At 45.9% G+C, this 17,707-nt stretch overlaps 1 protein-coding gene across 25 annotated transcripts in view, besides 1 other annotated feature; it reads right to left on the bottom strand.

The window, feature by feature from the left end:
- CUX1 (cut like homeobox 1) overlaps positions 1 to 17,707 on the bottom strand; it is a 467,952-nt gene that overhangs the window by 138,759 nt on the left and 311,486 nt on the right. The window lies entirely within an intron of this gene.
- Positions 10,497 to 10,791: an enhancer, noted in NCBI's record as "tiled region #3063; HepG2 Activating DNase matched - State 8:EnhW, and K562 Activating non-DNase unmatched - State 14:Gen5'". NCBI's record gives its function as "activates a minimal TATA promoter and a strong SV40 promoter by Sharpr-MPRA in HepG2 and K562 cells {active_cell/tissue: HepG2 | K562}" and the evidence as "EXISTENCE:reporter gene assay evidence [ECO:0000049][PMID:27701403]".

Here is a 17,707-nt window from a genome sequence, read left to right as displayed (position 1 = left end):
GTGACGAAGAGGGAATCTATACAATGACCAAGACTTAAAGATACACCAGCCAACTGCAACGTGTGGATCTTACTTGAATCGAGATTCAAATTTTTTTTTTTTTTTTTTTTTTTAAGACGGAGTCTTGCTCTGTCGCCCAGGTTGGAGTGCAGTGGTGCGATCTCGGCTCACTGCAACCTCCGCCTCTCCGTTCAGGTGATTCCACTGCCTCAGCCTCCTGAGTAGCTGGGACTACAGGTGTGTGCCACCACACCCAGCTAATTTTTGTGTTTTTAGTAGAGACGAGGTTTTGCCATGTTAGCCAGGCTGTTTTCAAGCTCCTGACCTCAAGTTATCCACCCACCTCGGCCTCCCAAAGTGCTGGGATTACAGACGTGAGCCATTGCGCCCAGCCTAAATTAAAATAATTTTAGAAAATAAAACCATTATGAAGTTTGGGGGCAACTAGAAATTTCAAAACTGGCTAGATTTACCTGATCATATTAAAAAATTATTATGATTATTATTTTTACTGTTTTTTTTTTTTTTTGAGACAGGGTCTTGCTTTGTCACCCAGGCTGGAGCGTAGTGGTGTGATCATAGCTCACTGCAGCCTCAACCTCCCGGGCTCAAGCAATCCTCCCACCTCAGCCTCCTGAGTTGCTGGGACTGCAGGTGAAAAATTATTTTTGAATGTGCTAATTGCGCTGTGACTATATTAAAAAGAAAGTCCTTATTGTGAGGATATGTGTGTTAAAATGTTTAGAAAGGAAATGAAAGGATTCTGGGAGTAGCTTCAAGTCAAAACAGGAGTGGGGACAGGTGAGACGGGATGGGCCATGAACGGGAGATGCTGACACCAGGTCACGCGTACGTCGGAAATTTAACATATGAAACATAAACAAAAAACCCAATAAGACAACAAAAAAAGTGAAGAGCATCACAGTAGTCAGGTATCCCTCCATCGTCACTCATTAATTGTAAAGCGTGCACTGATGCTGACTGCTACTATTCCATTTGCAATGAAACAAGGTGATAAGCAAGACATAAAAATACTCAAGAAGAAGGAGAATCTAAAGGACGCTGCATGGCTGTGGCTGCAGCTGTGGAAAAGAATATGGATTAGAAGTGGCCGTCCTGGCTGGGCGCAGTGGCTCACGCCTGTAATCCCAGCACTTTGGGAGGCTGAGGTGGGTGGATTGCCTGAGGTCAGGAGTTCGAGACCAGCCTGGCCAACATGGTAAAGGCTCGTCTCTACTAAAAATACAAAATTGGCCGGGTGGGGTGGTGCATGCCTGTAATTCCAGCTACTCGGGAGGCTGAGACAGGAGGATGGCTTGAACCCAGGAGGTGGAGGCTACAGTGAGCTGAGATCGCACCACGGCACTCCAGTCTTGGTGAGACAGATTGAGACTCCGTCTCAAACAAAACAAAACAAAAAAACAAAAGAAGAAGTGGCCGTCCTGTGCGGTCCACCTGATGCCAGACTCTGCTAACTTTAGTCAAGACAGTTACCTTCCCGGAATCCCGTTTACCCACTTGCCAAGGGGAAAAAAATGTATACAAAGAGCACATCTCTATAAGAAGAATGTGACTTTAAAAAATAATATACCATATATATGTTTTTCTTTGACACAGAAAATGATTGGGCCAGGCGCAGTGACTCACACCTGTAATCCCAGCACTTTGGGAGGCCAAGGTGGGAGGATCGCTTGAGCCCAGGAATTCGAGACCAGCCTGGGCAACATGGTGAAGCTCCGTCTCTACAAAACATTAATACAAAAATTAGCTGGGTATGGTGGTATGCACTTGTGGTCCCAGCTACTTTGGAGACTGATGTGGGTGGATCGTTTGAGCCCAGGAGTTGGAGGCTGCAGTGAGCTATGATCGCGCCTCTGTGCTCCAGCTTGGGTGACAGAGCAAGACTCTGTCTCATAAAAAAGAAAAAGATTGTTAGCCAAGAACAGAGAATGGGAAGAAAATGAATTCTGGAAGGGAACCCCCCAAGTACCATCTGACCCAGGAAGGGAACTGTCATGGTGAGAGGCCTACACTTAGGTGATGGAGGAAACTGAGGCACAAGTTCCTGCTGTTGACATCGTGGGCCGGCAGCCTGCCATCCATTGAGCCCCCTGGCCATGGGACAGTTACAAAGACGCAGGCAACATGGCTCCTGCACTCCGGGGACTTGCCCCAACTGTGCCAGGAATCACGGGTAGACAACAACCTGGCAGGAAATGGGGACCGGTTGTTACTTCTTTACTTTCAGATTTGTTTTTATTATTATTATTATTTTTTAATAGATGGGTCTTGCTCTGTTGCCCAGGCTGGAGTGCAGTGGTTTGACCATGGCTCACTGCAGCCTTGAACTCATGGGCTCAAGAGATCCTCCTGCCTCGGCCTCCCAAGTAGCTGGGACTACAAGTGTGCATCACCTCTCCCGGCTAATTTTTAAATTTTTTGCAGAAACAAGGTCTCACTATGTTGGCCAGGCTGGTCTTGAACTCCTGTCTTCAAGTGATCCTCCTGTCTCGATCCCCTGAATACCTGGGACTACAGGTGTGCACCATTACACATGGCTAATTTATTTTTTGTAGAGACAGGGTCTTGCTCTGTTGCCCAGGCTGGAGTGCAGTGGTACTATCATGGCTCACTGCAGCCTCAAATTCCTGGGCTCAAGTGATCCTCCTGCCTCAGCCTCCCAACTAGCTGGGCTTACAGGTGTGAACTACCACACCTGGCCCTAGTTTCAGACTTTTAAAGGCTGTTTAGGAAGGGATGCTGTTCTGTCATCTATACCCATTGTTTTTAACAGTCTCCTTCATGTTTTAGTGTGAAACTTCGCCAGCAAACCTTCCTACAGGTGGGAGTACTGCTTGCCCAGTTTCTGCATTCTCTCTTTCAGAACCACCTTTCAGGTTCTGTTTGCCATTCCTGGTTTACTTCACCTGTGAGCATCCCGCCTGTACCTCCAACAGACGCTGCCCAAGAATGCGCCAAATCATATTTTGGACAAGACGCGGGCTTCTCTCTCTCATCTGCCTCCTGCGCTGCACAAAAGACACACCACAGGGGAGCAGTGCAGACCTACAGAGGAAGACTGCTAGGATTTCACAAGTGGGGAAACTGAGGTGCAGGGCGGCGCAGTGGTGCATGGGCTCAAGGGCATGGTAGGCAACCTGTCTCTACTAAAAGCCTGGCCTTTACTCCCAAGTACAAGGGTTTCTAATGACTTTCTCCCCTAAGTACTGTGTGGTAGGAAGTGTTAAGGAAAGGTTGGGACCAGGCATGGTGGCTCACGCCTGTAATCCCAGCACTCTGAGAGGCTGAGGCGGGTGGATCACTTGAGGTCAGGAGTTCAAGACCAGCCTGACCAACATGGAGAAACCCCGTCTCTACTAAAAATACAAAAAAAAAAAAAAAAAAAAAAATTAGCTGAGAGTGGTGGTGTGCACCTGTAATCCCAGCTACTCGGGAGGCTAAGGTGGGAGAATTGCTTGAACCCGGGAGGCACAGGTTGAAGTGAGCCAAGATTGTGCCACTGCACTACAGCCTGGGCAACAGAGTGAGAGCCTGTCTCAAAAACCAAAACAAAGCTTTGGTGGCAGAGGCAGAGAAGCTAAAACTAAGAATAAAAAAAATTTCTGATTGCATACTAGTTATCGCTCTCAGCTTCCTCTCCTTCCCCATCCCCAAGCCCAATCCCACTTCCTGGGCCCACCTCCCTGGCTCAGGTCCCAAATCCTGGCATCTTCTGACCAACCCAAGCTCCTTCAACCTTCTTCCACCTGGTTTTTCCCCAGTAAAGTCAATGCTTGGCTCACCTGTGGCTTCAGAGTTCTATAGATTTGTCCACAATTCCCTCCCCGCTTAATTGCCTTGCACTTAAGTTAGCTGGTGGTTTCCTGTACCCCGCAGGGCTGGGAAGTGAAACTGAAGACCCAGGCAGTGGAGGCACGAGAACGTTCATAGGAAAGACAGCATCCTTCCTCTTCCTCTCGCTGGCACCGAAAGTCTGCCTTTCGGCAGGCTAAGTACCTTTTTTAGGGCAACTTGAAAATGAATAATTCAGCGGTTCCTATTCTGCTTGTGAAGTGTTAGACAAACAATTCAGATGGGGCCAGACTTGCTGGCCCCACGAAGACCGTCCGTTCCCTTCACTCTGACATCATTGGATTTGGCCATGAATCTTTAAGAACGCCCTCCATCCTGTCTAATCACTAAAATACCACAAAGGAAGTTCACAATACTTAGACGTAGCGAAAAAAATAGAAAGGTTAATTGCAACAAGAAGTTTTCCCTCCTAGCCAAGCAGTGTATCAGGGTGGCATAGTAATGCTGTTTTTTTTTTTTTTTGAGACGAAGTCTCGCTCCATCCCCCAGGCTGGAGTACAGTGGCATGATCTTGGCTCACCGCAACCTCTGCCTCCTGGGTTCAAGAGATTCTCCTGCCTCAGCCTCCCCAATAGCTGGGATTACAGGCGTGCACCACCACGCTCAGCTAAATTTTTTTTTGTATTTTTAGTAGAGACGGGGTTTCACCATGTTGGCCAGGCTGGTCTTGAACTCCTGACCTCAAGTGATTCTCCCGCCTCGGCCTCCCAAAGTGCTGGGATTACAGGTGTGTGTCACTGCACCCAGCCTCGAACTCTTAACAATAAAAAAAACACATAGAGGCTGGGTGCAGTGGCTCATGCCTGTAATCCTAGCACTTTGGGAGGCTAAGGCAGGTGGATTGCCTGAGTTCAGGAGTTTGAGAATAGCCTGGCAAACATGGTGAAACCCCGTCTCTACTAAAATACAAAAAACTGGCTGGGCATGGTGGTGTGCACCTGTAGTTCCAGCTACTTGGGAGGCTGAGGCAGGAGAATTGCTTGAACCCGGAGGTGGAGGTTGCAGTGAGCCGAGATCGTGCCATTGCACTCCACCCTGGGTGACAGAGCAAGACTCTGTCTCCAAAAACAAACAAACAAACAAACAAACAAAAAAACAAACCCACATAGGTAGAGCATGTCTTAGTCACACCAAGCTATTGAAGAGTTGGGCTTTATTCAAAGCCAAGCCTTAGAAGTCATCTTCCCCACTGAGCTATGCTCCTTTAAATCTCAGACTTCACTTAAGAGCTTTATTGATGCTGTGTCTTGTGTTAAATCCACCTCAAATACTTTGTTGGAAGTAGGGGTAATGAAAGTTTTAAGGTAAAAAGCTAAACAAAAAACAACTTTTCTGGTTTGGTTATAGAATTTGTTTTGGGCTGAGCAGAGTGGCTTAGACCTGTCATTCCAGGACTTTGGGAGGCTCAGGTGGGAGGACTGCTGGAGGATCGCTTGAGGCCAAGAGCTTGAGACCAGCCTGGGCAATGTAACAAGACCCCGTCTCTACAATAAATTAAAAAAAAAAAAATAGCTGGGTGTGCTGGTGTGCCCCTGTAGAACCAGCCACTTAAGGGGGTGAGGCAGGAGGATGGCTTGATCCCAGGAGTTTGAGGCTGCAGTGAGCTATGACTGTGCCATTGCACTATAGCCTGGGTGACAGATCAAGATCCTGTCTTAAAAAAAAAATTCATTTTGGAAAGTGGTTTTAATTTTTAGTAGAGATGAGTTCTTGCTATGTTGCCCAGCCTGTCTCGAATTTCTGTGCTCAGGCAGTACCCCCGGCTTGGCCTCTCAAAGTGCTGGGATTACAGGGGTGGGCCACCATGCCTGGCTGGAAAGGAGTCTTAATGGACAAGCCAAAAGCTGTTTCAGGTGGTAATAATCTCTCCACTTGGAAGATGTATATCCAATAACCAGCCTTACAGCTTAGCTATGCTTTTGATCATCAATGTATCAATACAATGTCATTGTAATTCTGGACAGGAAATTGGATTCAGCCACTTTTCAAATGCCAGGGTAGGGCACTTCCCAGGTTTTAACTTACAGAAGGACCCTGGGTGTCGAGTTGATACCATTCCTTTTTTTTTTTTTTTTTTTTTTTAAGATGTAGTCTCTCTCTGTTGCCCAGGCTGGAGTGCAGCAGCACGATCTCGGCTCACTGCAAACTCTGCCTCCCGGGTTCAAGTGATTCCCGGGTCTCAGCCTCCTGAGTAGCTGGAATTACAGGTGCATACCACCACACCCAGCTAATTTTTGTATTTTTAGTACAGATGGGGTTTCTCCATGTTGGCCAGGCTGGTCTCAAACTCCTGACCTCAAATGATCCGCCTGCCTTGATCTCCCAAAGTGCTGAGATTAGAGGTGTGACCCACAATGCCCGGCCAAGCTGATACATTTCTAAGTTTAGTGAAAGCTAAAATGGCAGCTGGATTGTTTAAAACAATGTGATGAGAAGAATGCCTTTGTCTATGTGTGTAAATCCCGTGGGATCTACGTGGCATACCTCAAGTTGGTAAAAAATATTTACCATATGCTAGGGAATAAAGGATTCTTACCACTAATGGATAATCCTGCTAAACAGCAGCTGCTTTGTAAAGGGAGTAGACGATCGTTGAAAATCCATATAACTTTAAAGAATTCACCAGCAGGAATTTGTAGGTCCAGAGTATCTTATAAAAGATCGGGTCTCATTGTAGAGGGAAGTGGCAAGGTTAATATAATGAAGTATAATTTGCTGCTATGCTAGACATGTAATCTAATAACAGTACAGTTTGATAAGAAAATTTAAATATATAGTTTTGAAAAGGTTTCAGAAGGGCTCAATGGTTCTGCATCAGAAAGTGAATTTCAGTTACAAGAGGAGGCTCAAGGCAGGGCGGATTAGAAGGCTCAGGGGACATTCAGAGGGTCAATTAGGCTGTTCACTCAATCTTCCTTAAATAGATCAGAAAGCCTAGGACAGAGATACTGTGAATTAGAAAAAAGAAAAGGATCAACAATTCAACAATAAAGAGAAATTTAAGTTAAGAGTTATATCAGTAAAATGTAATTAGGCCAAATTTACCCATAAAAATAAAATACATATTTTTTAAAAATCCAAAAAGGGTGGTAGAAACACATTTTGAGTAAAAAGGCAATGATTAACTAGACTTTTTGTTTTTGGAGACGGGATCTCACTTTGTTGCCCAGGCTGGGGTGCAGTGGCACGATTTTGGCTCACTGCAGCCTTGACCTCCTGGGCTCAAGCAATCCTCCCTCCTCAGTCTCCAAAGTAGCTAAGACTACAGTGAGCACCACCATGCCCAGCTAATTTTTAACTTTTTTTAGTGAGACGATCTCACTACGTTGCCCAGGCTGGTCTCCAGTTCCTGGGTTCAAGTGATCCTTCTGCCTTGGCCTCCCAAAGTGTTGAGGCTACAGGTGTGAGCCAGTGTGCTTGGCCAACTAGATTTTTTTTTTAAGGCTAATTAAGGTAAGGTTTGAAGCCAGACTAATCAATATTATATGTAGCATAATAATGTTAGGGAGAAATAAGAAATGCTAAATGGCACAGTAAATAGAAACATAAGCTTCAACTTGTCTTAAATAAGCAAGAAAATCTATAAAATATGTAAAATAAAAATGGAATGAAATGTACTATTTAAAAGTGTAATCCTACTATTAGGTCGGTGCAAAAGTAACTGTGGTTTTGCCATTACCTTTTTCTTTTTTGACGGAGATTCACTCTTCTCGCCCAGGCTGGAGTGCAGCGGTGCCATCTCAGCTCACTGTAACCTTCACCTCCAGGGTTCAAGCAATTCTCATGCCTCAGCCTCCCGAGTAGCTGGGATTATAGGCATCCACCACCACGCCCGGCTAATTTTTGTATTTTCAGTAGAGGCAGGGTTTAGCCATGTTGGCCAGTGTGGTCTTGAACTTGTGACCTCAGGTGATCCGCCTGCCTCAACCTCCCAAAGCGCTGGGATTACAGGTGTGAGCCACCGCGCCCAACCTGCCATTACTTTTAATGGCAAAAACCGCAATTACTTTTGCACCGACCTAATAGAAAACTACCCCACTAGAAGGATCTAACACAGTTGCGGGGCTTTGATCCCATGGCATCTAAAAACCAGGTCACAGTTCAATTTACAGAGGGGAAATCATTGGAGCATTTGATTAACATGGAAAGGGACACAGGCTTAAACCAAGAGCCTCCACGATTCTTCCCAGACCTATAACAGAATGCTCCTTCTGAACACAGGAATGAAAGAAGAGGATCAGAAGTTCTGAGTGTCACACAGGGTGCACGTTCACTACTTGTAGGTAATGCAGTCCCGTGCTCCCCAAATCCCAGGGATTCACTTGAGCAAATGGGCTGGGACAATCAAGCGTTCAGCAAAGCCCTATGTTTCTTGGTAAACACAAGAAAATAACAAACTCCCCTACACCAGTAATAAACATCCACAAAATGAAATAAAAGATCTGTCTCATTTACAACAGAGGTAAACACAGAAGCACGTGGGAATTAAAATAACATAGCATAAACTCCATCTGTAGAAAAATTGGATTACAAAATGCTTGGAGCAAAGGAAGAGAATGATACATTTATGTGCAGCTGCATTAAATACAAAGAAACATACATTTCTCTCCCAAGTTAATTTATAAAAGTTGGTAAAATGGCCGGGCACGGTGGCTCACGTCTAAAATCCCAGCACTTTGGGAGGCCAAGGTGGGCGGATCATGACGTCAGGAGTTTCAGACCAGCCTGACCAACATGGTGAAACCCCGTCTCCATTAAAAATACAAAAATTAGCTGGGTGTGGTGGCGGTGCCTGTAATCCCAGCTATTGGGGAGGCTGAGGCAGGAGAATTGCTTGAACCTGGGAGGTGGAGGTTGCAGTGAGCTGAGATCGTGCCACTGCACTCCAGCATGGGTGAGAGAGCAAGACTCCATCTCAAATAAAAAAAAAAAAAGTTGGTAAAATGACGAGATGCATACAGAAAAAATAGGTGACCAAAATACTAAAGGTTGTTGTTTTTTTTTCTTTTAAACTAAAAACAACAATAGTAAACTGGCTATACAAATACTGAAATAGAAAACAAGGAGACGTCATCAAGAGTGTGGCACTTATTAGAGTGAAAAACTAGACTGATAGAATGAAATTATAGACAGAAATCCAGAGCTATATGTATTTATACCTGATTTGTCAGATATTATATGTTGGGGGAAGAAATCATCAATATTATTGGGCAAACTGAGTATTAAAGAATAACAAACAGAAACAAATATTATTTTATATGATATAATAAACTTCAGACACATTAAAGATATAATAGGTCATTGAAAAATAAGAAAATGGATTGAGGAGAAAAAACCATTTTCTTTTTTTTTTGAGACAGAGCCTTGCTCTGTCTCCCAGGCTGGTGTGTGGTGGCGTGATCTCAGCTCACTGTGACCTCCACCTCCCGGGTTCAAGGATTCTCCTGCCTCAGCCTCCCAAGTAGCTAGGACTATAGGCACGCGCCACCACACCAGGACAATTTTTGTATTTAGAGTAGAGATGGGTTTACACCATCTTGGCCAGGCTGGTCTTGAACTCGTGACCTCAAGTGATCCGCCTGCCTTGGCCTCCCAAAGTGCTGGAATTACAGGCATGAGCCACCGTGCCTGGCCTGAAAAGACTATTTTCTCTCACTGAAACCACATTAGAAATGATTAAGGATAAGATTGCTGGGACTCATGTTTTTATATATATTATTTTTTGTGTGTGTGTACATACACACACACACACACAAACACACACACACACAAGTTGACCCTCAAATATGGGTCTGAACAATATGGTTCCACTTCAACTTGAATATTTTTCAGTAAAATTACACTGAGTGTGTCTGGCCCCCCTCCCACCTCCTCCACGTCCTCCTCCGCTGTCACCCGAGACAGCGAGACCAACCCTCCTCTTCCTTGGCCTACTTGATGTGAAGACAACAGGGATGAAGACCTTTTTGATGATCCACTTCCACTTAATGAACGGAAAGTGTGTTTTCTCTTCCTTAGGATTTCTTAACATTTTCTTTTCTCTGCCTTACTTTATTGGAAGAATATTGTATATAACATATGTAACTTACAAAACATCTTAATCGGCACTTCATGTAACTGGTAAGGCTTCCGGTCACTAGCAGGCTGTCAGTAAAGCTTTTGAGGAGTCAAAAGTTGTACTTGGATTTTTCACTGTGTCGGGGGTCAGTGCCTCTAACCCCTGTGTTGTTCAAGGGTCAACTATACACGATTCTTTTGGACAGTGAAAATCACTAAAACTCGAGTGAAAAGAAAAGCAATTAATTGATAGGTAAAAGTAACCATAAATGTGAGTAGCTAAAATCCAGAATACGTGTAGAATTACTGCCCAGTTTCCACTGTACCCATTTTTACAGGATATAAGGAAACACACAAAGAGTAAAATAAATAGGGACCTGGCGCTGTGACTCCTGTCTGTAATCCCAGAACTTCGGGAGGGAGAGGTGGGAGGATCGCTTGAGCCCAGGAGTTTGAGACCAGCCTGGGTAACACAGTGAGACCCCATCTCTAAAAATAAAAAGAATTAGCTGGGTGTGGTGGCACTTGCCTATAGTCCCAGCTACTCAGGAGGCTGAGGTGGGAGGATCACTTGAGCCCAGGAGGTCAGGGCTGCAGTGAGTCGTGATTGCGCCACTGCATTCCAGTCTGGGCAACAGAGCTGGATCCTGTCTCAAAACAAATAAAAAGTCATGTGGCACTGTGCAAAGCGGTGGGGGAAAGACGGAGGAGGATCCGGTCAAGACACTGTCAGTCTGACGCAGATGCTTAACCCTTCCTTTGCCACGGTCCCCTCTGGAAGTCTTGTCAAGAATACAGGCATCTATTTGGAATGTTTTAAAGACGTAAGTCCACAAGGCCATTATTGGACAGAAGTCTAATCATGTTTTAAGGACCAAGGAAAACAATTATTTTGAAGTGCAGTTATTGCAATTTTTTTTAATTTTTATTTTTGAGACTGAGTCTAGCTCTGTTGCCCAGGCTGAAGTGCAGTGGTGCAATCTCAGCTAACTGCAACCTCCACCTCCCGGGTTCAAGCGATTCTCCTGCCTCAGCCACCAGAGTAGCTGGGATTACAGGTGCCCACCACCACTCCCAGCTAATTTTTTAAACTTTTAGGAGATATGAGGTTTCACCATGTTGGCCAGACTGGCCTCGAACACCTGACCTCAAAGTGATCTGCCCACCTTGGCCTCTCAAGGTGCTGTGATTACAGGTGTGAGCCAGCGCGCCAGGACAATCTTTTTTTAAAACCAGATTTGTGATACAGGAACAACTGTTCTTTACTGTTGCACTAAATAACAAATCTAAGAACCACTGACATTTTGAAGTAGTGATGAATCCAAACAGCGTTTGTGACCTCCGTAACAACGGGAATGAGATGTGAAAGCCTCTGTGATTTCCACTCGCAACGAGGTCACAGTCTGCAATTACCCCGGTGTGGGGGCTTCATTTACAATGGAAGGAAATGCTACATTGCAGTTAGACACTGATGGAAATAAAGATGTATTTTCTAGGCCGAGTGTGGTGGCTCACGCCTGTAGTCCCAGCACTTTGGGAGGCGGAGGCGGGTGGATCACGAGGTCAGGAGTTCAAGACCAGCCTGGCCAACATGGTGAAACCCTGTCTCTACTAAAAACTACAAAAATTATCTGGGTGTGGTGGCACATGCCTGTGGTCCCAACTACTTGGTAGGCTAAGGCAGGAGAATCGCTTGAACCCGGGAGGCGGAGGTTGCAGAGAGCCACAATTGCATCACTGCACTCCAGCCTGGGTGACAGGGCAAGACTCCATCTCAAAAAAAAAAAAAAAAAAAAAAAAAAGATGTATTTTTTTCTGGGTCCAATTCATGAAGCCCCCAGGTTCTCTCTATAGACCCCACATGAAGAGCCCCTAGAATGAGGGAGACCAGAGCCCTCTTTCACCACAGCAGGTAAGTGTGGGCATAGGAGCAGGCAAGGCAGGGCAGGATCAGCTTGTCAGGAAAGGTAGAACCGGCTGCAAGGTGAGCTGGGGAAAGAAAGGCCTGGGATTCTATAGGACGGTGGAGTTTGAGTTGGCCTAAGATGAGGCTGGGAAGGCAGGGCTGCATCCCAAAGTGCCTTGTGCATCATGCTGTGATTTTGGACTTTCCCTTAGATATGAGAGAGGGTGCCACGGAGAGATTTTAAGTGGGACAGGTTTTAGCAGGATCAGACAGATTTTAGAAAGATAACTTTAGCAGATGCTTGGAGGGTGGTTTTGTCCAGGGAGATACTGGTGGCAGAGGGTCAAGTTCAGAAGATCTTGAAGTGAGACCAAGAGACGAAAAACAAATTAAGGCCGGGTGCGGTGGCTCACGCCTGTAATCCCAGCACTTTGGGAGGCTGAGGCAGGTGAATCACTTGAGGTCAGGAGTTTGCGACCAGCCTGGCCAACATGGTGAACCCTGTCACTACTAAAAATACAAAAATTAGCCAGGTGTAGTGGCGGGTGCCTGTAATCCCAGCTACTCAGGAAGCTGAGGCAGGAGAATCGCTTGAACCTGGGAGGTGGAGGTTGCAGTGAGCAGAGATTGCGCCACTGCAAGTGACAGAGCGAGACCCTGTCTCAAAAAAAAAAAAAAAAAAAGAAAAGCAAAGAAAAACAAATTAAAATGACGGTAGTGAGAGTGGTGATGAAGTTGGGAATGTACAATGTTGCAAGAAGGCGGAACTAACATGAATTAGACAGGAGGGCTCACAAAGGAGTGACGAAATACCCTCAGTTTCTGGAATGAAGGAGGAGCAGGTATGGTCGGGCAGAGGAAGAAAGCAGAAGGGGGCTGACTATAGGGAAGGGGGAAGTTACGGAGAATAACAACTTAATCTGAGTTTGAGATGCTCATAGTAGAAATGTCTAGTAAGAAACTGAAAATATAGAGGTTTTACTATTGGGAAATGAAACTTTTTCTTATTGTTCTGTAAAGATGCGTGTGTGCGTGGCGTGCGCGCGCGCGCGCGCACACACACACACACACTCTCTCTCTCATATATATTGCAAATATTTTTGCCAGTCTGTCTAAATCCATCTGCCCATCCGTCTGTCCATCCATCCATCTATCCACCCGCCCATCCATCTATCCACCCGCCCATCCATCTATCCACCCGCCCATCCATCTATCCACCCGCCCATCCATCTCCACAAAGCTCTGAATTTCTTCCCTTTGTGATTTCTACTTTTGGCATCATGCTTAAAAAAAAGTTTTTCCACCCCCTTATTATATAAATATACACCTAAAATTGCTCCTAGTGTTTTTATGGATTTCTTTCTGGTCACATTTAAATGTTTTAAACATCTAAACTGAGCGTGGTGGCTCACGCCTGTAATCCCAGCACTTTGGCAGGCAGAGGTGGGTGGATCACTTGAGGTCAGGAGTTCAAGACCAGCCTAGCCAACATGGTGAAACCCCATCTTTACTAAAATACAAAAATTGGCTAGGCATGGTGGTGCGCGCCTGTAATCCCAGCTACTCAGGAGGCTGAGGCAGGAGAACTGCTTGAACCTGGGAGGCAGAGGTTGCAGTGAGCCAAGATCACGCCACTGCACTTCAGCCTGGGTGAGACAGCAAGACCCTGTCTCAAAAAAAAAAAATAAATAAATAAAATAAAAAATAAATAAAAATAACTAAATAGATTTTATTTTGCATGGGGCTCAGCTCTGATTCTACTGGCTTCTACATAGTTGGCTTGTTATTCTACCATTTACTAAAGACTCTGTCCTTCTTTAATGTACTTAAATTTGAGCAGTTTTTATGTTCAAACTTTTTTTTTTTTTTTTAAACAGAAATTATGTCTTGCTGTTTTGCCCAGGCTGGTCTTGAATTCCTGGCCTCAAACGACCCTCCTGCCTCGGCCTCCCAAAATGTTAGGATTAGAGGCGTGAGCCACTGCACCTGGCCAATTGAGCAATTTTTATATACAACTTTTTCTTAGTTTTGACGTCTGCAAAAATTCAGAAAGCTACTATAAGAAAATGACAATCAACCATCTGCATAAAAAAAGAATTAGCCACTTAACACAACTGGTCCTTTTTCCATTGGAAAAATCGATCGGAAATTGGATTTCTAATTACATTTGGGCTTTCCACGGAAACCGCAGAACAGCCGGTCATCTATATATTCATTAAATCCTACAAACTGGAGAGTTTTTTTTTTTTTTTTTTGAGATGGAGTCTCACTCTGTTGACCAGGCTGAAATGCAGTGGCATGATCTCGCTGACTCAGCTTTCTGAGTAGCTGGGACTACAGGCGTGTACCACCACGCCCGGCTAATTTTCGTATTTTCAGTAGAGACAGGGTTTCATCATGTTGGCCAGGCCGGTCTTGAACTCCTGACCTCAGGCAATCTGCCCACCACAGTCTCCCAAAGTGCTGGGATTACAGGCGTGAGCCACCACTCCCAGCCTGCAGAGATTTTTTTTTTAAGGGTGGGAAGATCACAGAAATGCTTCGAAGCACACATCGTCCAACTTAGAAGAAGCAAAAAGGTCAAAATATAGGCTATTCCATAAAATTTCAAGAATAAGCTGTGCTTTTGTGCTTCAGGCTATTTGGATAGCAAGGATTCTCAACACTACATAATTTTTTTTATAAGATGGAGTCTTGCTCTGTTGCCCAGGCTGGAGTGCAGTGGCGTGATTTCAGCTCACTGCAACCTCTGCCTCCTGGGTTCAAGCGATTCTCCTGCCTCAGCCTCCCAAGTAGCTGGGATTACAAGCTCCCGTCACCACGCCCAGCTAATTTTTGTGTTTTTAGTAGAGATGGGGTTTTGCTATGTTGGCCAGACTGGTCTCGAACTCCTGACCTCAGGTGATCCACCCATCTCAGCCTCCCAAAGTGATGGAGTTACAGGTGTGAGCCACCTTACCCGGCCAACACTACATAATTTTTATTTTTTCCCAACCCTCTTTAGGAAAATCAGAGGGCACTGCTGTGGTCATGTGGGGGTTAATTCTCACTGATGTTGAATGCCCCAGTCTTTGCTCTGTTCATTGGAGCATTAAATCTGAAGGCTCAGGAGAGTGATGCAGTCGGGCTGTGCGGGAGTGATGCCATAAAGCTCGGCATTAAAAATTCATATTGCAGGCTTGCCTTAGAACTCAGCACTGGCTGAAAGGAGAGGTGGCGAGGAAATATGAGACACCCCACTGTCTTTCTGGCAATTGGAGACATTCCTCAACAAATAGCACCTCGGGAAGAGAATGAAAGGGCAAACAAGCCGTGAAGGAAATCAATGAGTTCAATTATCTCGCTCGCTCCTGCCTTCCTATAGGAAACTTTTCATTCTTTGAGGTGGGTTCCAAAAAGTTTTTTAACGAAATCCCCGAACAAGAGCCCTGGGCATCCTTGCTGGGTGCCTGGCTGTTTGGCACCTCTTTTAATTTGTTTCACACCAGCCCACGGTGCCCCAAATTTTCCAAGTCAGATGGAACCAGATCTCCAATGCGGGCCGCCACCTTGGTGTCACAGTCAGCTGGGCGGGGACCGAACAACTTGTTCTCACTTTAAAACTTGGATCTTGCAAAAATGTGGCACATAGAAGACAGTTAGTTACTAGATTATTAACCTCTGGTGTTGATTTTTTCTTTGAGATGGAGCCTCACTCTGTTTCCCAGGCTGGAGTGCAATGGCACAATCTCGGCTCACTGCAGCCTCTGCCTCCCAGGTTCAAGCCATTCTCCTGCTTCAGCCTCCCGAGTAGCTGGGATTACAGGCACCCACTACCACGCCCAGCTAATTTTTGTATTTTTAGTAGAGACAGGGTTTTACCATGTTGGCCAGGCTGGTCTCGAACTCCTGACCTCAAGTGATCTGCCCATCTTGGCCTCCCAAAGTGCTGGGATTACAGAGGTGAGCCACTGTGCCCAGCCCTGGTGTTTGATTTTTTAGAGACCCATCTATGAAGGCATTTGCAGCTGTGCAATGGTTTGAACTTGGAACTTTTGGCCACCACATTTAGTGGCACCTCAATGGTGACTGATGCAGATTTTAAAATTTAGGGTCCCTGAGGAAGATGATGGGAAACAAAGCTTTACACCTGGGTGCCCCAGCTGTGGCACGCTAATATGGATGAGTAGGTCTTGCAGTGCGGATAATGATTTTTACAAACTCATCATGGAAAGCGACATAATTCTTAAGAGTGGGAAGAGACCTTGAGCAGGGGGAGGTAAGCAGACCTTTTTAAAATGTGCCAGGTGATGCCAGGTGCCTTGCAGGCAGCAGGAGCAGCAATGTCAGCCACCCTTTATAGAGGTCCTGTACCAGGCACTAATGTGGCATTCTTTTCTCTTTTTTTTTTGAAACAGAGTCTCTGTTGCCCAGGCTGGAGTGCAGTGGCGGGATCTCAGCTCACTGCAACCTCCACCTCCCCAGTTCAAGTGATTCTTCTACTTCAGCCTCCCGAGTAGCTAGAATTACAGACACATGCCACCACGCCCAGCAAATTTTTGTATTTTTAATAGAGACAGGGTTTCCTCATGTTGGCCAGTCTGGTCTCAAACTCTTGGCCTCAAGTGATCCACCTGCCTTGATCTCCCAAAGTGCTGGGATTACAGGTGAGGCGTGGCATTCTTTTATTTCACTTATGAAAATACTAAGGTCTGAGTAAGGAAACCTCCTGCCCTGCTTGAGGTTACATAATTCATGGAGTTGGGAATTAAACCCAGGTCTTTACGATGTTGCGACCCAGGTTCTTCCCACCGTGACTCATGCTGTGCCCGGTGCCCTGGATGCAGCCCTGCCTGAAGGCCACTCCACAAACAGGCCCTGCTGGGGGACAGCATCCGAGATCCAGGTCTCTGGGAAGTAGAACTGGGCAAGAAAGTGCAAGAGGCTGACAAAAGGGCCAGCTCCTCCGTCCTGCCTGGCACCCGGCCCAATCCGGTGCTGCGGCCGAGGGAGGGGCTTTGTGGGGTCACACCTGGGGACAGATGGGACCAGAGTCAGGGTCTCTGAGCCGTGCATATCATCCACTGTCCCTGACTTTTCACTAGAGGCATCTACAAACGTCATGGAGCAGCAGTCTAGGAACAGAGGCCCCGTGCCAGTACTGCCATGAGCCCTTGGAGAATTCTGGGCTTCCAAACGCTCTTGTCTGATGATGGCCTTGGGAGGCTACCTCAAGATGCCACAGCCGGCTGGGCGTGGTGGCTCACGCCTGTAATCCCAGCCCTTCTGGAGGCTGAAGTGGGCCGATCACCTGAGGTCAGACCAGCTTGGCCAACTGGCGAAACCCTGTCTCTACTAAAAATACAAAAATTCACTGGGCGTGGTGGCACACACCTGTAGTCCCAGCTACTCAGGAGGCCGAGGCAGAAGAATCGCTTAAATCTGGGAGGTGGAGGTTGCAGTGAGCCGAGATCATGCCACGGCACTCCAGCCTGGGTGACAGAGCAGGACTCCGTCTCAAACAAAACAAAACAAACAAACAAACAAACAAAAAACACGAAAAAGATGCCACAGCCACTGGCAGAACATGAAGGCATAGAAAGAACAGGGACAAAGCTCCCCAGATTAAACCCCAAAGGGCAATGAAAGCAGTGTAATAAATCAGGCTCCTGAACAGCAGGGAAATAAGTGGTAAGTCTTAGGGCTCACCTACGTGATGGAATGTTATGCAGTATGCACTGTGTTTCTGAAGAATATTTAATGATAAGCAAGAAATATTTACAACATGTCAGGTAAAAAAAAAAACAAAAACAAAAAACAAACCCTAGAAATCAAAATCATGTTATCAGTCTATGCCACTGGTAAAAAACAGACGAGTTTGGGCGAAGCAGC

This window comes from Homo sapiens, chromosome 7, assembly GCF_000001405.40.
Source record: "Homo sapiens chromosome 7, GRCh38.p14 Primary Assembly".
Classification (NCBI taxonomy): Eukaryota; Metazoa; Chordata; class Mammalia; order Primates; family Hominidae; genus Homo; species Homo sapiens.
This window is presented reverse-complemented; position numbering and strand designations above follow the sequence as displayed.